A 21,404-nucleotide genomic window follows, 5' to 3' on the forward strand; every position below is an offset into this window, starting at 1 on the left:
CCAAGAGACCTACTAGCGAGATACCTTTGTTTTTTCGTTTTTGTTTTTTTTTTCAAGATCTCTTTGACGTCATCCTTCCTCCCATTCTAACCCACCCCTGCCTTTATAGGCAAGCATGTCATCCAGGAATGTTCAGAGTACACTGTGCCCCTACCTTACTGATGATGTAATCCCTCATCTCTAGCTAGGGCTCTGGGAATTGCCTCTTGCCAGATACGGTGTCCAGAGCAAGATCCAATAGCAGGTTCTATAACTTTCAGCTAAAGGTTAGCATGGTCAAAGAAAATCAAAGTGAACTGATCATAATAAAGGTAACCCACTCAATTTGACTGGAAATAAGGCTACGAAATTAGATATATAACATAAAAACAGGCTGGGCCGGCTGGTCGCAGTGGCTCACGCCTTTAATCCCAGCACTTTGGGAGGCTAAGGCAGGTGGATCACCTGAGGTCAGGAGTTCGAGACCAGCCTGGCCAAAATGGTGAAACCCTGTCTCTACTCAAAATACAAAAATTAGCCAGGCTTGGTGACAGGAACCTGTAATCCCAGCTACTCAGTAGGCTGAGGCAGGAGAATCTCTTGAACCCAGGAGGTGGAGGTTGCAGTGAGCCGACATCGCACCACTGCATTCTAGCCTGGGTGACAGAGCAAGACACCATCTCAAAAAAAAAAAAAAAAAAAACAACAACACAGGCTGGGCCTGGTGGCTCACACCTGTAATCCCAGCACTTTGGGAGGCCAAGGTGGGCATAGCAGTTGAGACCAGGAATTTGAGACCAGCCTGGCCAACAAAGTGAAACCCTGTCTCTACTAAAAATACAAAAAAAAAAAAAAAAAAAAATTAGCCGGGTGTGGTGGCACACAGCTGTAATCCCAGCTACTCAGGAGGCTGAGGCAGGGGAATCGCTTGAACCCAGGAGGTGGAGGTTGCAGTGAGCAGAGATGGCGCCACTGCACTCCAGCCTGGGTGACAGAGCAAGACTCTGCCTCAAGAAAAAGAAAAGAAAAGAAAAGAAACTTTAAAAATAAAATAAAATAAAAATACAAACCAGTGCTATTTCATTAAGAAACTGAAGAAACTGCTAGTGAATTAAGAAAATGTAAAGGCAGACCCAACCCTGAGAAACATGTTGAAAGAATTAAGAAACAAGCAAAAATATTGTGAAACTTTATCAAATTCCATGTATATGTTTCTGAAATATATTAAAACTCAATTTTTTGACAAAGAGAAAGAAATAGTGCATGCTATTTCTGCAGTGAGCCCTGTAAAGTGTGCTTTTGTGACAATTGGTACTGTAATAAATTCTAAACAGATAATTTATCTTCCACTATTTCAAGAAAGATTTCTGGACATTTCAAAGTGAACTAAGCCTTTGAGTTGAAGATTAACTTGTTTAGAAGACTTTGTGCTGCCAAAAATACCAAAAGATAACAAAAAATAATAAAGAAATAAGCAGCTCAAACTTTGCTGATCTTTATGATAAGCTAATTCTCTCCTGGTTATCTGCCTTTTGAAGCTCCATTAACTCTATCCTTCACAGGCTACTAGGGCAGTGGCTTACCAGTTTTTTGACCCTGATACACATAAGAAATATTGCAAATAGGAATCTAGAACAGGCATTCTGTATGTATGTATACATATAACTAAGAAAAAGTTGTATTAAATATTTCTTTCCCTTACCACTTGCAATTTACTGATATTTTCTTTCCTTTTTCATTCCATTTTTCTGTCTGAAATCCTATTCTATTCTCCTGTTTGTTTTGTTTTATCCTATTTCATTTTTTTATATTTAACTTTTATTTATTTATTTATTGAGACAGGGTCTTGCTCTGTTGCCCAGGCTGGAGTCCAGTGGCACAATTTTGGCTCACTGCAGCCCCGAATTCCTGGACTCAAGTGATCTTCCCACCTCAGCTTCCTTGAGCAACTGAGACCACAGGTGTTTGCCACCACACCTGGGTTTGCTTTTTTTTTTGACAAGGGCCGGGTTGGGGGGTCTGGTCTCCATGTGTTGCCCAGGCTGGGCTCAAGCAATCCTCCTGCTTCGACCTCCCTCAGTGCTGGGGTTACAGGCGTGAGCTACCCTATTCCATTTTTAAAACTCAGCTGTGACTCACAAAATTGTTTTTCCCACTTACTAATTAGTCTTAATGAGTAGTTTGAAAAACATTGCTCTAAAGTGTGGCAAAAGGTGAAAGCTAGAAATGTCCTCTCTGCACCAGCCCAAGAAGCTTTTCTAATCTACTTCATATTCACTTTCTACACTTCTTTTTCACTAATTCATTCATTCCTCATTTCACTTATTAGAGGAATACCTATGAAGCATCTGCCAGGAGTCAAGCACTTGGCCAGTTACTGGGAATACAGTGGTGAGCAGGAGAAATGTGGTTTCTACTTGTCCAGAGTTTAGAGGACTAACCCGCTTGTTTAAAGTTACCAAACTTCCTCCCCTGTTGGGTGCGCAGCAGTGGGCTGTCTTAGGGAACCTGAATCAGAAGAGACCTAAACACCAAGGGAGATAGTGGTGGAGTGAGGAAGGAGGCAAGTGTGCTCTTCTTTTTTATTTTTATTTTTTTGAAATGGAATTTCACTCTTATTGCCCAGGCTGGAGTGCAATGGCACAATCTCAGCTCACTGCAACCTCCGCCTCCCGGGTTCAAGCGATTCTCCTGCCTCAGCCTCCTGAGTAGCTGGGATGACAGGTATCTGCCACCATGCCCGGCTAATTTTGGTATTTTTAGTAGAGACGGGTTTCACCATGTTGGCCAGGCTGGTCTCGAACTCGTGACCTCAGGTGATCCACCTGCCTCGGCCTCCCACAGTGCTGGGATTACAGGCATGAGCCACCATGACTGGCCACAAGTGTGTTCTTATATCATGGCACTGGGGGTGCCGTGATATAAGAAACTCTTTACTCAAGAGTTTCCTAGTGGTAACAATAAACACAGTCTTTAGAAAGAAAGGCATTTTACTTGGTTTGATAATACGATGATGAATAGCCTCTTTCCTGCTTCCAGTCTGATGATGTGGGTGTGGGTAACACATACATGATTACAATACAATTAAATAATGTAATAGACCAACATAATATTTTTGAGTTGCATGCAGTTAAGGGATAGTTGAAAGGAGAGGAAATGACAGGAAATGAGGGTAAATGTTTGGGAAGGAGCCTGGTTGTGGGGAGGAATTTTCCGGGATAGGAAGAGATTTGAATATTTTTACAGGTTGAGAGAAAAGAACCAGTGGAGAGGCAGAGACAGGGCATCATTAATTAATGCGTTAAGGTGTTGGTAGACAAAGGTTTCCAGGATTGACCTGGAAAAGAAAGTCACTAGCATGGTGACCACTTTATGGATAAAATAAAGGAATAATAGACAAAGCCTGCAATATTATTATATTTATTAAAAGCAAAAGACATTTGATATGGTGGAAATTTCGCCATTAGCTGCTTTTTCTCATTTTCTTGAATGGTAGGGTGATAACATTTTGTCCTGAAAGTACTCCCTAAATTACCAGTCCCCTTGCTTCATCCCTTTATTGCATGGATTTCTTTGGACCCACCAAAACTACAGCATCTTTTTTCCCATGGCCCCTTGTTTGTTTGTTTGTTTTCTAACTTGTAAGGGAAGAATAGCATATACATTAAAAAATGCAAGCATCAAACTTGTACAGTTTGATGAATTTTCATAAATTGAGCACATCTGTATGTAAATTCTACATTTACGTACAGAAACAGAACATTACCAGCATCCTGGAAGCCCATTATTCCCAGGAACCCTTTCCCCATCCAAAGGTAACTGCTGTGCTGACTTCTAACAAAGTGTGCGCTTTTCAAAGAGAAAATGAGCTTTCCAGTAGATAAACCCACAAGCAAGAAGGTATTTCTTTAAAAGCTATCCAAATAAGGAAGGCATTTTCAACCTGTTCTTAGCTGTTTACCCAAAATATTTCTGTCACTCCTATATTGTTTGCCCAGTTGGAGTAAAAACAGAGTGAAGAGTAGGCCAATCAGGAAGCTTCTGTCTGGAAGACTCCCCTTAGAAACAAACATTTTGAAATGGGAAGTAGAATTAAAACCAAATGTAAACCAACTTATATAATAAGTAACCTGTTTCTGGCTATCTTATGCATCTGATGCATTGATATCTTTTTGTTGTATTTATTTATTTATTTTGAGATGGAGTCCCGCTCTGTCGCCCAGGCTGGAGTGCAGTGACGCGATCTCAGCTCACTGCAGTCTCCGCCTCCCAGGTTCAAGCGATTCTCCCTGCCTCAGCCTCACGAGTAGCTGGGATTACAGGTGCCCGCCACCATGCCTGGCTAATTTTTGTATTTTTTATAGACACAGGGTTTTGCCATGTTGGCCAAGCTGGTCTTGAACTCCTGATCTCAGGTGATCTGCTCCCCTCAGCCTCCCAAAGTGCTGGGATTACAGGCGTGAGCCACCATGCCCAGCCTGATGCATTGATATCTTTTTAAAAACCAGAATCTATTTTTCATATTACTAACAAAATAAAATTTTGGAAAATATAGAAAAGTCAAAACAACTCACAGTTCATCACCCAGCAACATCATTGTTAATATTACTGTATATTTCCTTTTTGTATTTCTTATTGATTAGATTATTTATTGAATGCATATGCATGGTCCCTGTGGCATCATTTGTAAGAGTGAAAAAATGGAAACGTTTTAACATCCATAAATAGAGAATGGTTGGATTATGGTACAAACATAGCATCATGACATGTTAAAAAGGATCAAGTGGAACTATGTGAACTGACATGGGAAGATACCCATCATCAATTTGTAAGTAAAAAAGATTCAGAGCAATATTTATAAAATGATCTCATCTATGTTTAAAACACATAGATGAGGCCGGGCATGGTGGCTCACACCTGTAATCCCAGCACTTTGGGAGGCCGAGGTGGGCGGATCACCCGAGGTCGGGAGTGCGCGACCAGCCAGACCAACATGGAGAAACCCCGTCTCTACTAAAAATACAAAATTAGCTGGGCCTGGTGGTGCATGCCTGTAATCCCAGCTACTCGGGAGGCTGAGGCAAGAGAATCGCTTGAACCTGGGAGGCAGAGATTGAGGTGAGCCGATATCAAGCCATTGCACTCCAGCCTGGGCAACAAGAGCGAAACTCCATCTCAAAAAAAAAAAAAAAAAAAGAAGGTGAAAAAGGATTTGGATGTTTACTTTTTATCCAAAAACATCTATTTTGTTCTCACATAGATATGGCTTAAGTTTGTTTTAGGAGTAATTAAGAAACACTTTGCGGCCGGGCTCGGTGGCTCACGCCTGTAATCTCAGCACTTTGGGAGGCCGAAGCGGGCAGATCACGAGGTCAGGAGATTGAGACCATCCTGGCTAACACGGTGAAACCCCGTCTCTTCTAAGAACACAAAAAAATAGCCGGGCATGGTGGCGGGCGCCTGTAGTGCCAGCTACTAGGGAGGCTGGGGCAGGAGAATGGTGTGAACCCAGGAGGCGGAGCTTGCAGTGAGCCGAGATCGCGCCACTGCACTCCAGCCTGGGCGACAGAGCGAGACTCTGTCTCAAAACAAAAAACAAAAACAAAAAAAAAGAACACTTTGTATTCAAGAGCCAATGCATTTTAAGAACAATGGCAAATAACCATTCAATACATATTTATTGGTAAATAATTGTTTGGAAACCAATACCAAATTGTTTCATGGAAATCTGTCAGGTATTTAGAGTTATCATGTTTATAATATTTCCTATTACATAATAATTTATCGTTTTTAATGAGTGATTCTCTTTTGTGCGACATTAAAGCATTGCTAAGTCAGGCATGACTTACTGAGATACATCAGAATTTGAACTCAAGATGCAACCAGAATATTCCAAGTGCAAGGTCGTTTATTTCCAATTGCCTTGAAGTTGGTGCCTACATTAGAAATATGGCAGTGGAATTCCCCCTTCCTTCAATATAAATGATTTCCCCCCTTTTTTATTACCAGAATTTGAAAGAGCTGGCATAAAGGAGTCCTCCCCTATGAAGGCATCTGTGTTTCACTCAGACAGAATGAGATGCAGTGTTCTTTTCATATATATGTCAATATTTATCTACATTATTGCATTTATCACACTTAATTTTTTATTTTTTATTTTTTTTGAGACAGAGTCTTGTTCTGTTGCCCAGGCTGGAGTTAAGTGGCACGATCTCGGCTCACTGCAACCTCTGCCTCCTGTATTCAAGCGATTCTCCTGTCTCAGCTCCCAAGTAGCTGGGATAACAGGGGTGCGCCACCACGCCTGGCTAATTTTTTATATTTTTAGTAGAGATGGGGTTTCACCACATTGGCCAGGCTGGTCTCCAACTCCACACCTCAAGTGATCCACCTGCCTCGGCATCCCAAAGTACTGGGATTACAGGCGTGAGCCACCGCACCCGGCCTATCATGTATAATTGTAACTATTTACTGAAGGGTCTCTCCCAGTAGATTATACACTTCTTGTGGGCAAGGCTAATAATGCCTTTTCTCTTTGGACCCTAGTGCCTAGCATAGTATTCAACACATACGAGTACTATCCCTGAGATACTGCAAGGTTTATATAATGGTATGTAGATACCAATGGTAGTATCTAAATACCTGGGTAAACAAATACTTTCAAAAGCAAGTCTTTTTCAATGAATATTTTACATCTGACTGATTTATTTAGCGACCGTAGGTTTTATTTTTCAAAAATAGCCACCATAATATATTTCATTTCACATGCTACTTGTACAATGAGAAGGTGACACTCCTCCCATCAAGTAGTGTGGCATATATCCCCTCTGCTTGAACTTGTGCAGTCTCCGTGACTGCCTTGATCAACAGTGTATATAGCTGGAAGTGATGCCATATGACTTCCAAAGATGGGTCGTAAAAATGCCATACATTCTGCCTTATCCTCTTGGGACACATTCTTGGGATCCAAACACTATGTAAGGAAGGCAAGATCCCATATGGAAAGGCCACATGCAGGTGTTCCAGCCAGCAGCAGCCTCAGCTGAGGCCCCAGCCATTCGCCAGCATCAACTACTAGATATGTAAGGGACTCGGATGGTTGCAGCCCCTAACAGTTGAGTCACCAGCTGACACTGCATGGAAAGAAATAGGCTGTCCCCGCAGAGCCCTGCCCAAATTGCAGATGCATGTGCAAAATAAATGATGGTTGTTTAAGCCACCAGGTTTAGGTAGCTTGTTATGCAGCAAGAGATAACCAGAACAGGTCACCGTGAGTTCACATGCCAGTGGAAATGGAGGGAAGGGTTAGGGGCCCAGAGCCATCCATTCTATTTCTTGTTTCTTAATCCTGGTGCAGTGCGAAACAACATGGTCAGATGGAAGCAGGATTAGAACAAGAAGGATGACCCCAAATGCACCCTGAAAAAATTAATTAGAACCTGCTAATTTCAAGCAGAAACATTAAAAATGTATTTGTGATGCACAGAGTTTATTTTTTGAGGAGGCAGAAAAAATATTTTAAGTGATTACAGAATGATCGTGGCAAACACTTCTTCTCTCTCTATATATATATGTATATATACATGTATAATGTATATATGTGTATATGTACATGTATAATGTTGTATATATGTATAATTGTAACTATTTACTGAATATACATATACTGAATATATATGCATAATTGTAACTACTGAATATATATTATTTTATATAGAGAGAGACTGAGTCTCGCTCTGTCACCCAGGCTGGAGTGCAGTGGCGTGATCTCAGCTCACGGCAACCACTGCCTCTTGGGTTCATGCAATTCTCATGCCTCAGCCTCCCGAGTAGCTGGGATTACAGGCATGCACACCACGCCTGGCTAATTTTTGTATTTTTAGTAGAGACGGGGTTTCACCATGTTGGTCCAGCTGGTCTCGAGCTCCTGGCCTAAAGCCATCTGCCCCCCTCGGCCTCCCAAAGTGCTGGGATTACAGGCGTGAGCCACCGCGCCTGGCCCTAGTATCTTACTGATGTGTTCAGAATCATGTACGGTGATTGCATGGACGTGCCACTTAACAAAAGAATTATGGATGGGTAGTGTAATTATCTAATGCTGGTGATTTGTGAATTTGTGATGAAGGACCCATTACCTGCTGCAGAATGACTTCAAGATTTGCTCAAAGATTTGCCCAAATATTCAGTGTGAACAGAACGTGGTTGCCACCTTTATCAATGCTTCTGACACAGTAAGTCATACTGTGATGAAAAAATTACACAGGAGGAAAATGCACGCTGCAAGTGTAGATGAGTTAACTGGCTGGTTCATGGACACAGGCTGCTTTCTTTCTTGGAAAATTACTTGTGACAGTTAAATTAACCTTAAGGGACTTGGAGATTGGCAAAGATTTGCATATGTTTTTTTCCCATTCTTTATGAACTGCCAAGTTCTTTTGCGAGTACAACAGTGCACTTTTATATTAACAATGAAATACGTTATTTGGGAGGAAACAATGAAAAATGAGATTGAAGAAACCAACTTTAAGTTATCAACCCTTTCAATCTATTAAAACACTGCAGCATATAACCTTGAATAACATTGTCTTGGTCCTTTAATGAAGATTAAATGTAAAGTATTTTTTATTAAGAACAAAACGCTATTAGAGGTGAATTTCCCCCTTATTCCCTTTTAAGCCAAACTACCTATTTTTTCTTTAAAAGTGACATCCATCAGCCGGGTGCAGTGGCTCACGCCTTTAATCCCAGCACTTTTGGGAGGCAGAGGTGGGTGGATTACTTGGGATCAGGAGTTTGAGACTAGCCTGGCCAACATGGTGAAACCCTGTCTCTACTAACAATACAAAAAAATTAGCTGGGTGTGGTGGAGCATGCCTGTAATCTCAGCTTCTCGGGAGCCTGAGGCAGAAGAATTGCTTGAACCTGGGAGGCTGAGGTTGCAGTGAGCCGAGACTGCGCCATTGCAATCCAGCCTGGGCTACAAGAGCAAAACTCCGTCTCAAAATAAAATAATAATAATAATGATAAAAAAATAAAAATGACATCCATCAAGTTCACAACGGTCTTTGGCTTAGACTAACAAGACTGCATTCCTTTAGACAGCCAAATGAACAAATGCTAGCATTTCTACCTGCTGACAGTGGGATACCCTCCTATATGAAGTTGGAATAAATAGACGTCAAGACATGCTTTGTCCTATTGCTTGAGTCCTGGAGAGCTAAGGTTAATAAAAGATAATTATTAAACCCCAAATATTGATAAAGTATATGCAGAAAGATATTCATCACAGTATTGTGATTTTAAAATGTCAAAAAATTAAATATTTCAAAAATATTGGATTATGCATAGCTTATAAATTATGATTATGAAGAACTTTTGGCAACAGGGGAGATCTTTAAGTTGATAGAAAAAGGAAAGAAATGTATTAAAACCCTGACAAAGATTGCTTTAGGGTAGCGGAAAAAAGGGTGATTTTATTTTCTTTTCTAATTTTTCTCTATGTTCCGTGAAGGTGATTATATTATTATTATTCAAAATTATTTAAAACAATTGCTAAGTACTTAATGATGCTTGAATCCAGCAGGAGAGAACAGAGATCATTTTGAGCTATAGGCTGAAAGGAAATGACACATAAATATGGAGAAAGTCTTGATGGGGTGGGTCTTTCCTTTATCATATCTATGCAGATAGAAGAAGTGGCTTCCAGGTGGACACAGCCACCTCACAAATAGGCTCTATTCCCATTCCTATTTTTCCTAAAAAGAGCCTTTGCCTGAATTCTCCACCTAACTTCTTCAAAATCCTCAACTATTCATCCAATCTGGAGTTAATAAGAAACATTTGTGTATAAGTAGGAGCAAATAATATTTTACTTTTTTATTTATAAGATAGCAAATGCACATCAGGAATTGCAAAGCTGTTTTTGAGAAAACGAGGATCCAGTTTACCTGAAGAGTTGTGAAGAATATATGAAGATGGGGTGCCATCAGAGGTGAGGTAACCCTGGTTTTGAGGGGAAAACCTTAAAACTAGCAAAGGAAAGCCAGTAAGAAGGGGAAGTAGAATTTGGAAAATAGAAGTAATTGAGCCACAAACTTTACAAAAAAGCGTGATACAGAACAAAAATAGATTATGAATAAAAAATAGATTAACCTGGAGGGGGTGCAGCTAGCAGGAAGGCGTTAAGTTATCTTGACTTTCTAAAACATTTTGGGTTTTCAGAGTGGTCTGGAGTTGCATACCTGCAGCCCTTTTGGCTTGCTCTTCTCCCATAAGCATGTTATTAAGCTGTAATTTACATCTGTACTTGAAACACAAATTCAGATTTTTAGAGAGTATCCAAAAGTTCTTGCTTTTCTCACCTTGCTTTAACAAGTTCAATCGCTTTCCACGCTACCTACAGAGGGGTCCATACGGCGTTGTTCTGGATTCCCGTCGTAACTTAAAGGGAAACTTTCACAATGTCCGGAGCCCTTGATGTCCTGCAAATGAAGGAGGAGGATGTCCTTAAGTTCCTTGCAGCAGGAACCCACTTAGGTGGCACCAATCTTGACTTCCAGATGGAACAGTACATCTATAAAAGGAAAAGTGATGGTATCTACATCATAAATCTGAAGAGGACCTGGGAGAAGCTTCTGCTGGCAGCTCGTGCCATTGTTGCCATTGAAAACCCTGCTGATGTCAGTGTTATATCATCCAGGAATACTGGCCAGAGGGCTGTGCTGAAGTTTGCTGCTGCCACTGGAGCCACTCCAATTGCTGGCTGCTTCACTCCTGGAACTTTCACTAACCAGATCCAGGCAGCCTTCCAGGAGCCACGACTTCTTGTGGTTACTGACCCCAGGGCTGACCACCAGCCTTTCACGGAGGCATCTTATGTTAACCTACCTACCATTGCTCTGTGTAACACAGATTCTCCTCTGCGCTATGTGCACATTGCCATCCCATGCAACAACAAGGGAGCTCACTCAGTGGGTTTGATGTGGTGGATGCTGGCTTGGGAAGTTCTGTGCATGCGTGGCACCATTTCCCGTGAACACCCGTGGGAGGTCATGCCTGATTTCTGCTTCTACAGAGATCCTGAAGAGATTGAAAAAGAAGAGCAGCCTGCTGCTGAAAAGGCTGTGACCAAGGAGGAATTTCAGGGTGAAAGGACTGCTCCAGCTCCTGAGTTCACTGCTACTCAGCCTGAGGTTGCAGACTGGTCTGAAGGTGTGCAGGTGCCCTCTGTGCCTATTCAGCAGTTCCCTACTGAAGACTGCAGCGCTCAGCCTGCCACGGAAGACTGGTCTGCAGCTCCCACTGCCCAGGCCACTGAATGGGTAGGAGCAACCACTGAATGGTCTTAAGCTGTTCTTGCATAGGCTCTTAAGCAATATGGAAAAATGGTGGATGGAAAATAAACATCAGTTTCTAAAAAAAAAAAAGTTTAATCGTGGGTGACACTGGCTTTCTTCTATACACACTTTCATTTAAAAGATTATTCTAGTTACAAGTAATTACTGATAGGTTGATGCCAAAGTTATTTAAAATGGTGTCTTATAATGTTCATTTTGCCTTCTACCCAGCATATATCCAAATAATTCCATCGAAAGTTTATATTCATTTCCCAAATATGAAAACCAATATCCTGAAATTCTGTCTGGCATCTTTTGGGCTTATATCAGTATCATTATTTGCATATATTTGGAATAAAGACAAGGGGCTAATAACATAATCTGTGCCTTGATAGAAGCCAATATTTTTCCCAAAAGTATCATTAAAAAGTATCATTTTATTAACAAATCCACCTTGGCCAGTCTTGGTGGCTCATGCCTGTAATCCCAGCACTTCAGGAGGCCGAGGTGTGTGGATCACAAGGTCAGGAGATGGAGACCATCCTGGCTAACATGGTGAAACCCTGTCTCTACTAAAAATACAAAAAATTAGCTGGGAGTGGTGGCGGGCGCCTGTAGTCCCAGCTACTCGGGAGGCTGAGGCAGGAGAATGGTGTGAACCCGGGAGGCGGAGCTTGCAGTGAGCCGAGATCGTGACACTGCACTCCAGCCTGGGCAACAGAGTGAGACTCCATTTCAAAAAAAAAAAAAATCCATATATGTGACTGTAATAGTTCTTTGTTAATATAGCCATAAGAAATTATTTACATTAAAACAATCAGAAGTGTTACAGCTCTTTTAGAATTCGTCTAGTAGGTTTTCCAGTGACCAGAAAATCCTCTGCTAAAAAAAAAAAAAATAATCAATTGGGTATAATAAATCAGTCATCCATTTCTCATCCCCACAATCATTCCTGTCTGACAAAAAAGTTTAGGAGAGTTGTTTGCAGAACACATCTTACTTGTTAATGCATTTTTAAAAATTCTGCTTCTCCTTCCTTATGTAACAATTCTGATCAAAATTTTTTCATACCTTCTTCTGCAACAATGACCCCACCCCCATACAAAACAACAGACACACACATCAGGGGCTTCCAGATTTTTCCAACTGTGGTTCCCATGATGAGAATTGTGTAGTGTAGGGTTTGCATCAATTATTTCCCTAATTACATCTAGTGAGGACATGTTTGTCATTCAACTGTTATATATGATCCAAATATGAACCCAGGGTGCTTTTGGGTATGAGTCATATATAAGTCAGTTGCTTGATTCACACCTACTTTCCTTTTGACAGTAATCCTTGTTAATGCCCTAATTTTATGATGTAATTTTCATTGAATTAATCTTGAACAACTGCAAATTATGTAATCAATTACATTCAGCTTCAATGACAATTACTTTTTAATCTCAGCCTCTCAGCCTGACACCCCAGCAGAAATCCTGTATATACAATGGCAGTGACGGGTGGGTGAGAAGACCTCTCCAGCTTACTGATGTGTATGGACTCATTAATTATATAAATTGCATTTATTTTTGCAAAAAAAAAAACCTCAGAGATTAGTAAAGTATATGCCATTTTCTTGGACTTAAGGGCTTAGAGAAGTTAAGGGGGCCATGCGTGGTGGCTCACACCTGTAATCCCAGCACTTTGGGAGGCTGAGTTGGGCAGATCACCTGAGGTCAGGAGTTCGAGACTAGCCTGACTAACATGGTGAAACCCCATCTCTATGAAAAATACAAGATTAGCCGGGCGTGGTGGCAGACGCCTGTAATCCCAGCTACTCGGGAGGCTGAAGCAGGAGAATCGCTTGAATTCATGAGGCAAAGGTTGCACTGAACTGAGATAGCACCATTGCCCTCCAGCCTGGGCAACAAGAGCGAAATTCCACCTCAAAAAAAAAAGAAAAAAAAAAAAGAGAGAAGTTAAGGGACAGAGAGTGAAACAAACTACCTTCAGCAGCTCCTGATTATTTTTCCCTTAATGCTCATTTTGAAGAGGTGTAATTGGCATAACTTAAAAAAATTCTTGTGGTCACATAAATTTGGTTTATGCTGGATTTAAAATTAAATAGGTTTCTTTATTATAGAGTTGCTTGTTCTTTAATATGTTAATATATGTTGTGACTTTCCAAGAAGTGGGATATAAAATGTTTCCCAAATTGTTTGAAAAGAGAACACCCTTTCTTTCTAAACAAATAACAACTTTATTGAGGTATAATTTATGTGCCATGAAATTCACTTGTCTTAAAGGAACAATTAAATGATTTTTAGTGTATTTACACTTATGCAATCGTCACCAAAATTCAAGTTTAAAACATTTTCACCACCCTCAAAAAAAATTTGTTTCTATTTGCCATCACTCGCTATTCTTCACCCCAGCCCCAGGCAACCACTAATCTACTTTCTGTCTTTATAGATTTCTCTTTTCTAGAAATTTTATATAAATGGACTTATACAATAGATCTTGCTCTGTCACTCAGGCTGGAGTGCAGTGGTGCAATCATAGCCCACTTCAAGCTGGAACTTCTGGGCTCAAGTGATCCTCCCACCTTGGCCTCCCGAAGTGCTGGGATTACAGGGATGAGCCACTCTGCCCCGCCACTTAGCATAATGATTTTGTTTTGTTTTGTTTTGTTTTTTGAGATGGAGTTTCGTTCTTGTTGCCCAGGGGGGAGTGCAATGGCGCGATCTCGACTCGCCACAACCTCCGCCTCCCAGGTTCAAGAGATTCTCCTGCCTCAGCTGGGATTACAGACATGTGTCACCACACCCGGCTAATTTTGTATTTTTAGTAGAGACGGGGTTTTGCCATGTCAGTCAGGCTGGTCTCGACCTCCCAACCTCAGGTGATCTGCCTGCCTCAGCCTCCCAAAGTGCTGGGATTACAGGCATGAGCCACTGCACCCGGCTTAGCGTAATGTTTTTGAGGATCATCCATTTTGTAGCATGTATCAATACTTCATTGCTTTTTATTGCTAAATAGTATTCCATATAAGTATACCACATTTAGCTTATCCATTCATCAGTTTATGGACATGTGGGTTGTTTTCACTTTGTGGTACTGTGAATAACATTTGAGTACAAGTTTTAGTGTGGACACACATTTTTATATTTCTCTTAGGTATATACTTTGGAATGGAATTGTAAATCATATGGCGAACTTATGTTAAACTTTTAAAGAAATTTCCACACGTTTTCCAAAGTGGTTGCACCATTTGCATTTCTACTGACAGTGTGTGAGAGTCCCAGCTTCTCCACATCCTTACCACCATTTGTCATTGTCTGTTGATTCTAACCATCCTAGTGGGTATGTAGTAGTATCTCATTGTGGTTTCTATTTGCATTCCTTGATGACCAATAATGAGTATCTTTTCATTTGTTTATTGACCATTCATATAGCTTCTTTACCCAAATGTTTATTCAAATTTTTGCCCATTTTAAAATTGGGTAATTTTCTTATTATTAAGTTGCAAGAGTTCCTTCTATATTCTAGATACAAGGCCTTAATCAGATATGATTTGCATGTTTTTTCTCTGTGGTTTTTCTCTTCACTATTCTTAATGGTGTCTTCTGAAGCACAGAAGTTTTGAGTTTTGACAAAGTCCAATTTATCAATTTTTTTTAGTGCTTGTGCTTTGTTGTACCTACAAAGGTCACAAAGATTTATGCCTATGTTTTCTTTTAAGAGTTTTGCAGTTTTAGCTCTTACATTTAGATCTATGATTCATTTGGAGTTAAATTTTGAGTATGATGTGGGAGGCAAAGGTTTAAATATATCTTTTTGCATGTGGCTATTGAATTGTCCTAGCACCATTTGTTGAAAAGACTATCCTTTCTCTATTGAATTACCATGGCACCTTTGTTGAAAATCAATTAAGCATAAATTTAAGAGTCTTTAATATGTTAATGTATGTTGTGAGTCTCCAACAGGGAGGATATAAAATGTTTCCCAAAATGTTTTCAACAAGGAATTCTACTCCCTCCCCTCACCTTTTTTTTTTTTTTTTAAAAAAACAACAACAACAACAACAACAAAAAAACACCGACTTTCATACAGGTTCTCATTGAGGTTCACAGAACAAGCTGTAGGAAAGCTAAATTGTTTTCATGCTTCTCTAAATTATTCAGGGCTCTAACTTTCACTGAAACTTTGTTAGGCTCTAGGAGGCTAACTGCTGTATCTGAACTGCAAAACCAAAGACAATTTCTTTTAGTGTGTTTATTACAAAGACATTTCACTATGCAAAAATGATGCAACTTTGGAAAGTTTATGGATGCAAATTTGGAAGTACGAACAATTTTGCAATTGTGTCTTTTACGTTTTTAGAGCAATGCATCTTGCTTGACCATGATATATGACTGGAGAGAATATCAGTAATAAGGTGCTACAGTCAAATAAGACTTGTTTGCATACACTTTCTCACACACACTGCATACACACACAATTACATACATATATACACACATATTGGAGATACAGTTTTTTCTTTTTAAATATACACACATACTGACGATATAGTTTTTCCTTTTCCTATTTAAAACAAGTAGATCTTGTCTTAATTTTTTTTAGCTTCTGAATTTTAAAGTCAATCATGTTTTTCTTTAACCAAATATGCAAAATGTTGGATTAATTGCTTAAATTTGACTTTATCAAAATGACAATACTATCACTTTTGCATTATATCACTAAACAAACAGAAGAACTTAGTACAAAAATTAAAAGTGAAAAAGTAAGGCCAGGCATGGTGGCTCATGCCTGTAACTCTAGCACTTTGGGAGTCTGAGGCGGGCGAATCACCTGAGGTCAACAGTTCACGACCAGCCTGGCCAACACAGTGAAACCCCCATCTCCACTAAAAATACAAAAATTAGCCGGGCAAGGTGGCATGTACCTGTAGTCCCACGTACTTGGGAGGCTCAGGCAGGAGAATCACTTGAACTCGGGAGGTAGAAGTTGCAGTGACCTGAGATGGCGCCACTGCACTCCAGCCTTAGCGACAGAGCAAGACTCCATCTCAAAAAAAAAAAAAAAAAAAAAGTGGAAAAGTAGAATTAGTGTCTCTTTATTAGTTTGTATTTATCTGCAGAACAAAAATAAAAAATAAAAAAAAAACAAAAAACAAACAAACAAAAAAAAAACCAGGCAAAAGCCAACAATAAAAGAAAAAAAAATGTACCATTACTTCGACAAGGAGATTGCAGCGTCATAAATCTAGAGAGGGAGATTGCAAGTGCCATCGGTCCTCTGCACTGGCCAACGCAGGCAGCCTACCCCAGTGAACCGCTAAGCTTCTAGAAACCTACAGAAAATGAAGGTGTAAGACAAGCATAGAGGTGTTCTACTGAGGCCCTCCAAAGTGCATTTATTTACCCTAACCGAGACGCTGATTTTCTATGTCCCCCGCTGCTAGTGATTTAGTGTTATTTTTAAAAGCATAATATTGGTTTTTAAAAAATTTTCAGATGGCATTATCTCACCTTACATGTAAGAAATGATTACATACAGAAGTTTCCTTTAAAAAAAAAATAGAGGTGTGTCTCCCTATGTTGCCTAGGCTGGCATGGAACTCCTGGGCTCAAACTACCCTCCCACCTCAGCCTCCCAAAGTGCTGGGCTGAGAGTACAGGCATGAGCCACCATGCCAGACAGAAGTTTCCTAATAGGTAATAATACTGTTTTTTTTTTATTTGGGGCATTCTATTTTGCCAAACACAAATTATAGTAGAAAGTATGTTTTATTGCAAAACTTTAGCCATATTTAGAGCAGGTTTCAACGCATAAGGCACCCCCTCTCTTTGTCAGGGCATTCCGGCTAGTTTTGAGGCTTAACAGCTCTAGTCCATTTCCATTCTCACTATACTTTTTAGGGAACTTAAATGTTCATTTTAGGTTGAATCTCAAGTCCTTTTCTCAAATGGATTTTACTAATTAGCTAATTTAGGAAAATTGTGTGGTATTTTCTCTTTCCTTTGTCACCTGAAACCTCGCTTAGTATTTCCTCAGCATTTTAAGATCTCCCCCGTCCCCGCTCCCGCCCCCCAAGGCTACTTGGAAGCTTCCAGGCTACTTCCTTACGGGCAGTTTACAGATTTTGTTTTTAGAAGCCTTTAGTTGACCTTGGCCTGCGTGGGTGTTCTCGTCTTTCCTCCTATCGTATGTTACGGTTACCTGCAGAGGCTGGCGTCGAAGGAGAGGTGCTATGCGAGGATGGCCCCAAGTTAAACAGTGACAGCCTCTGCCCTCCCAGACCCCAGGCGCGCGGGGGCGGGCGCGGAACACCGGTTCCACCGCCACCTTCAGGCCTCCCGGTGTGGCGCGGTTCGGGACGTCACACAAATACCAGGGCACCCATGTTTCTGCCCTGGGAAACTCTCACGTCAGCCGGCCCCCCAATTCTGCTAAAGGAGAAAACAAAATTTCCCTCCCATGGACGCAGCTGGGCACTTTGAGAACTGGTCGGGCAGAAGGCTGATCGCGCAGAGCCTGGTGCAAACGGGAAGCAATTCCCCTGGAACAAGAAATGAGGGGCAGGAATTTGCATGTCTTTCACAGGAGTATCAAAGTCTGGGAGAGTTTCCTTCCCAAAGTCATCTGTTCCAAACTGAACTTAAAAAGCTACCTCTCAGGGGCTCCCCGGGAAGAGGTTCCCCTGTAAGGACCAGGAGAACTTGGATAATTTGGGAAGAAGACTCCCATCAAGGATGGGAATTATCCCCTTACACACTTGGCTAAGATTCTTAGGAGAATAAAGAGGGACTGGAAATTAATATATTTGTAGTCATACATAAATCTGACATTGTAAAATGCAGGGAGTTCTTATACTGCAGTGGAGGGCCAATCATTATCACATCGGTTACTCCTTGTAGTATCTTTATAAAGCTCTGATTTAAAGAACTGCTGTTTTGTTGTAGATGAGTGTCCGGGCTGATGGAACCCTCACATCACCTAAATAACCATGAGGCTGTTTTTCAGTTTGTTCACCTCAGTGCTGCACATTGCACATGCATTAACAAATATCACCAATGAATGATGATGGAGGTATCATCATTTACTTGACAATCTGTAAAGTACCTTCCAGGTAATTGACAATATATTCCTACTTAATTACTTGCGCTCTTCACATCTCTGTTCCTTCTGTTTACTTTGCAAAGAGAAAAGCCCTTTGAACCCAAACATTTGTCGATCCCAGTCCCAGAGAAGTCACAGAATTTGCCAGAGGGAAGGCAAATCTTTTAGCATCTGCTTCTAGTATAGGTGAAATTGCTGGGAGTGACTGCTCAGGAGCAACTGAGCAAAATTGGCAATTTTCCCCACAGAGCAAAAAGATTTGATTTGAAAAACATCATACAGCCACTCAAATGTAAGTGCCAATATATTTACCAAATTGAACAAGTGATTTTTTTTTTTTTTTTTTGAGACAAAGTCTCACTCTGTCGCCCAGGCTGGAGTGCAGTGGTGTGATCTCAGCTCACTGCAAACCTCTGCCTCCCAGGTTCAAGTGATTCTCCTCCCTCAGCCTCCTGAGTAGCTGGACTACAGATGAGCGCCACCACGCCCGGCTACTGTTCTGTATTTTTTAGTAGAGATGGGGTTTCACCATATTGGCCAGGCCGGTCTTGAACTCTTGACCTCGTGATCCGCCTGCCTCAGTCTTCCAAAGTGCTGGGATTACAGGCGTGAGCCACTGCGCCCAGCTATGAGTGATTTTTGAATTGTCCATACCATGGCTTCCCTCCTACAGATTGACTTTAATTACCTGAAATAAGTTTGTAAGTTTAAATAAAAAGAAGAAGCAATCAGTAGATGGTGAAATGAACAGAAATGGAGACACATATCCTGAAAGTGTAATACGCTGGGAAATTTTACAGAGGGAGGTGAGATTAAATGAAAGCAGGAAGAGTTCCCATGCTAGGTTAATTTACACAATGTCTTTTATTTGCTTACATTTATTTGGGGTGAATAAATTTATAATTGATAATTTATAATTTTAACTTTTAAAGGTGTGGACAGAAATGCTTTTACTGATTAGAAAATAATTTTTATTCCAATAGAAGTGGAACAATACTTCTAGTAAATAAATACTAGAAGTAAAATAAATCAAGTGGAGCAAAATATTTAAAATAAATATTTACAACAAAATATTTAAAATAAATATTTAAAACAAAATATTTAAAATAAAATATTTAAAACTACACTTGAAATTTCAAATGTGTACAATTCAGAGGATAAAAAAATCTTCAAAAATCATAGACACAGAGTTTAGGAAGCCAAAGGCTGTGAACTTCTCTTCTCATTGAATCCATGCTTTATTTTGCATTCTTCACAGGTAAGCAATCAGTGCCTGTTCTGCTGTGGACCAAAATCAGCCCCATGGAGCTGATCTTCAAAGAAATGGAATTTACTCTGGCATACTCTTATGTATGATACCTTTCCAAGGCCAATCCCAATATACCAACAAGTGTAACTTCAGGCAATGATCCAAATCTTGGATTAGCTGCTAAATAACCTTGGCAGACTAGTCCCTGGGTGATGAGCATGCTTACAGGAGAAAAAGGCAGAGCTCTCTTCCAGAAACTTTCTTCTTGACATCCTCTTATAATGTTTGAAATCTCTCCTCTGTGGATGTGCAGTTTGATTTTGGATAAAACAACAGTCTCTGCTTGCTTGGTGGTGGCAAATGGGGACCTTTCTCTTGGTTTCCATGAGTAGATATTGGGGGCATGATGACTTCGTGTTTGCTTTTCTTCCAGTTGAGTGTGCTCGGCCTACTCCTTGACCCAGTGCTGGGTGTCTGTTACGTGTCAGGCAAGGGCATGCATAGACATGAAAAAGAATAAGACACAATCACTGCTGAAGGAGCTCACAGTCTGTGGGGGGTGTTCCCCAAGTCCATGTCCCTGGCACTGCCAAGCTGAGCTGGCCTCCTTCCTCGGTGACTGCCACAGCCTGGACTGGAAAATAAATTTTAATTTCTAAGAAAGTAGAGAATGTGAGAGCGCCTTCAAAGTGAGGTTCATGGTTGTAAAACTTGGATTTCAGAGTGTTGTTTGAAAGGCAAGTAGTATTTATATGTACTCATGTGTACATAATTTTATAATCACTTACAGTGTGTTTGAACCAGCTCCTGACCTCAATGTTGTACTGCTCTGGGGAAACATCATGCTTTTTCTACCCAGGGAATTTAAGTCTATCCCAAAGAATAGTAAATAGATTTAGAAACTCTCAAAGTGTTCTGCATAGAAAACTAAAAGGAACTCTCCTGCTTGAGAAACTGGGATGGACTAAAAAAGACTGCAAATTCTTTATCACCACCCCCGACCCCTCAGAGGTGGAATTTATTTCTTCTCTCCTTGAATATGGCCTGGCTTTGAGACTGCTTAATGAATAGAAGGTGGCAGAAGTGACGCTGTGGCAGCTCTTGGCTTAAGTCCTGAGAAGGCCTGGAAATTTCCATTTTCCATCTCTTCTGGGACCCCCAAACTACCACACAGACAGACCACATGCCTTGCATTGGAGAGGGAGGAGGCTGGCCTCCTGGTGGGGCTTCCTGGTGCCTCTAGTTCCAGGCATCTTTTGAAAGACACCAAGAACTGCCAGCTGAGCTATCAATCCACAGAAGCTTAAAAAGCAAACAAAGTGTTTGTTGTTTTAAGCCACTAAGTTTGGGGCAATTTGTTACATAGCAATAAATAATTGAAACAGAAAGCAAGCCATTCACTGTCACCTATAACTCTTGGTTAACAGGGAATGGCTTTGCTTTATTGGAAAGACAGTTAGACTTGGTTCTCTAAACTGAGTTTTGGCCGATGATTTATTGTGAGTTGCAGAGGACACAGGTAAGGGTTCCTCTAGTTAGAGAATACAGGGATATAGGGTCAGAAAAGACGATGCAGAGAGTTACGTGGGGAGTAGGCAGCGAGGTGTGACCTTCAGGGCCTGGCGGGTGGCAGCAGACATGAGGACCCAAATAGACGCTGTGAATAAAACCAGTGATCACAGGCAGACGGTGGTACCAAGGCTGTGAGTGTTGAAGGAGAGAGTGGAGAGGAA

The 21,404-nt window shown here is 40.8% G+C and overlaps 3 pseudogenes, besides 4 other annotated features; 2 read left to right on the forward strand and 1 right to left on the reverse strand.

Annotated features, from left to right (window-relative positions):
• Positions 9,573 to 10,772: an enhancer, noted in NCBI's record as "BRD4-independent group 4 enhancer chr8:81470238-81471437 (GRCh37/hg19 assembly coordinates)". NCBI's record gives its function as "activates an origin of replication core promoter dependent on BRD2, P300/CBP, MED14 and CDK7 cofactors, and independent of BRD4, by STARR-seq in HCT116 cells {active_cell/tissue: HCT116}" and the evidence as "EXISTENCE:reporter gene assay evidence [ECO:0000049][PMID:35650434]".
• RPSAP47 (ribosomal protein SA pseudogene 47) lies at positions 10,364 to 11,397 on the forward strand (annotated as a pseudogene).
• Positions 12,137 to 12,195, forward strand: RNU7-174P (RNA, U7 small nuclear 174 pseudogene; annotated as a pseudogene).
• Positions 14,905 to 15,565: an enhancer, noted in NCBI's record as "NANOG hESC enhancer chr8:81475570-81476230 (GRCh37/hg19 assembly coordinates)". NCBI's record gives its function as "activates a minimal SCP1, AML or CMV promoter by ChIP-STARR-seq in primed H9 embryonic stem cells {active_cell/tissue: H9 hESC(primed)}" and the evidence as "EXISTENCE:reporter gene assay evidence [ECO:0000049][PMID:30033119]".
• Positions 17,141 to 17,675: an enhancer, noted in NCBI's record as "H3K4me1 hESC enhancer chr8:81477806-81478340 (GRCh37/hg19 assembly coordinates)". NCBI's record gives its function as "activates a minimal SCP1, AML or CMV promoter by ChIP-STARR-seq in primed H9 embryonic stem cells {active_cell/tissue: H9 hESC(primed)}" and the evidence as "EXISTENCE:reporter gene assay evidence [ECO:0000049][PMID:30033119]".
• Positions 17,676 to 18,208: an enhancer, noted in NCBI's record as "H3K4me1 hESC enhancer chr8:81478341-81478873 (GRCh37/hg19 assembly coordinates)". NCBI's record gives its function as "activates a minimal SCP1, AML or CMV promoter by ChIP-STARR-seq in primed H9 embryonic stem cells {active_cell/tissue: H9 hESC(primed)}" and the evidence as "EXISTENCE:reporter gene assay evidence [ECO:0000049][PMID:30033119]".
• Positions 19,535 to 20,148, reverse strand: OCIAD2P1 (OCIA domain containing 2 pseudogene 1; annotated as a pseudogene).

This window comes from Homo sapiens, chromosome 8 (genome assembly GCF_000001405.40).
Source record: "Homo sapiens chromosome 8, GRCh38.p14 Primary Assembly".
In the NCBI taxonomy this organism is placed as follows: domain Eukaryota; kingdom Metazoa; phylum Chordata; class Mammalia; order Primates; family Hominidae; genus Homo; species Homo sapiens.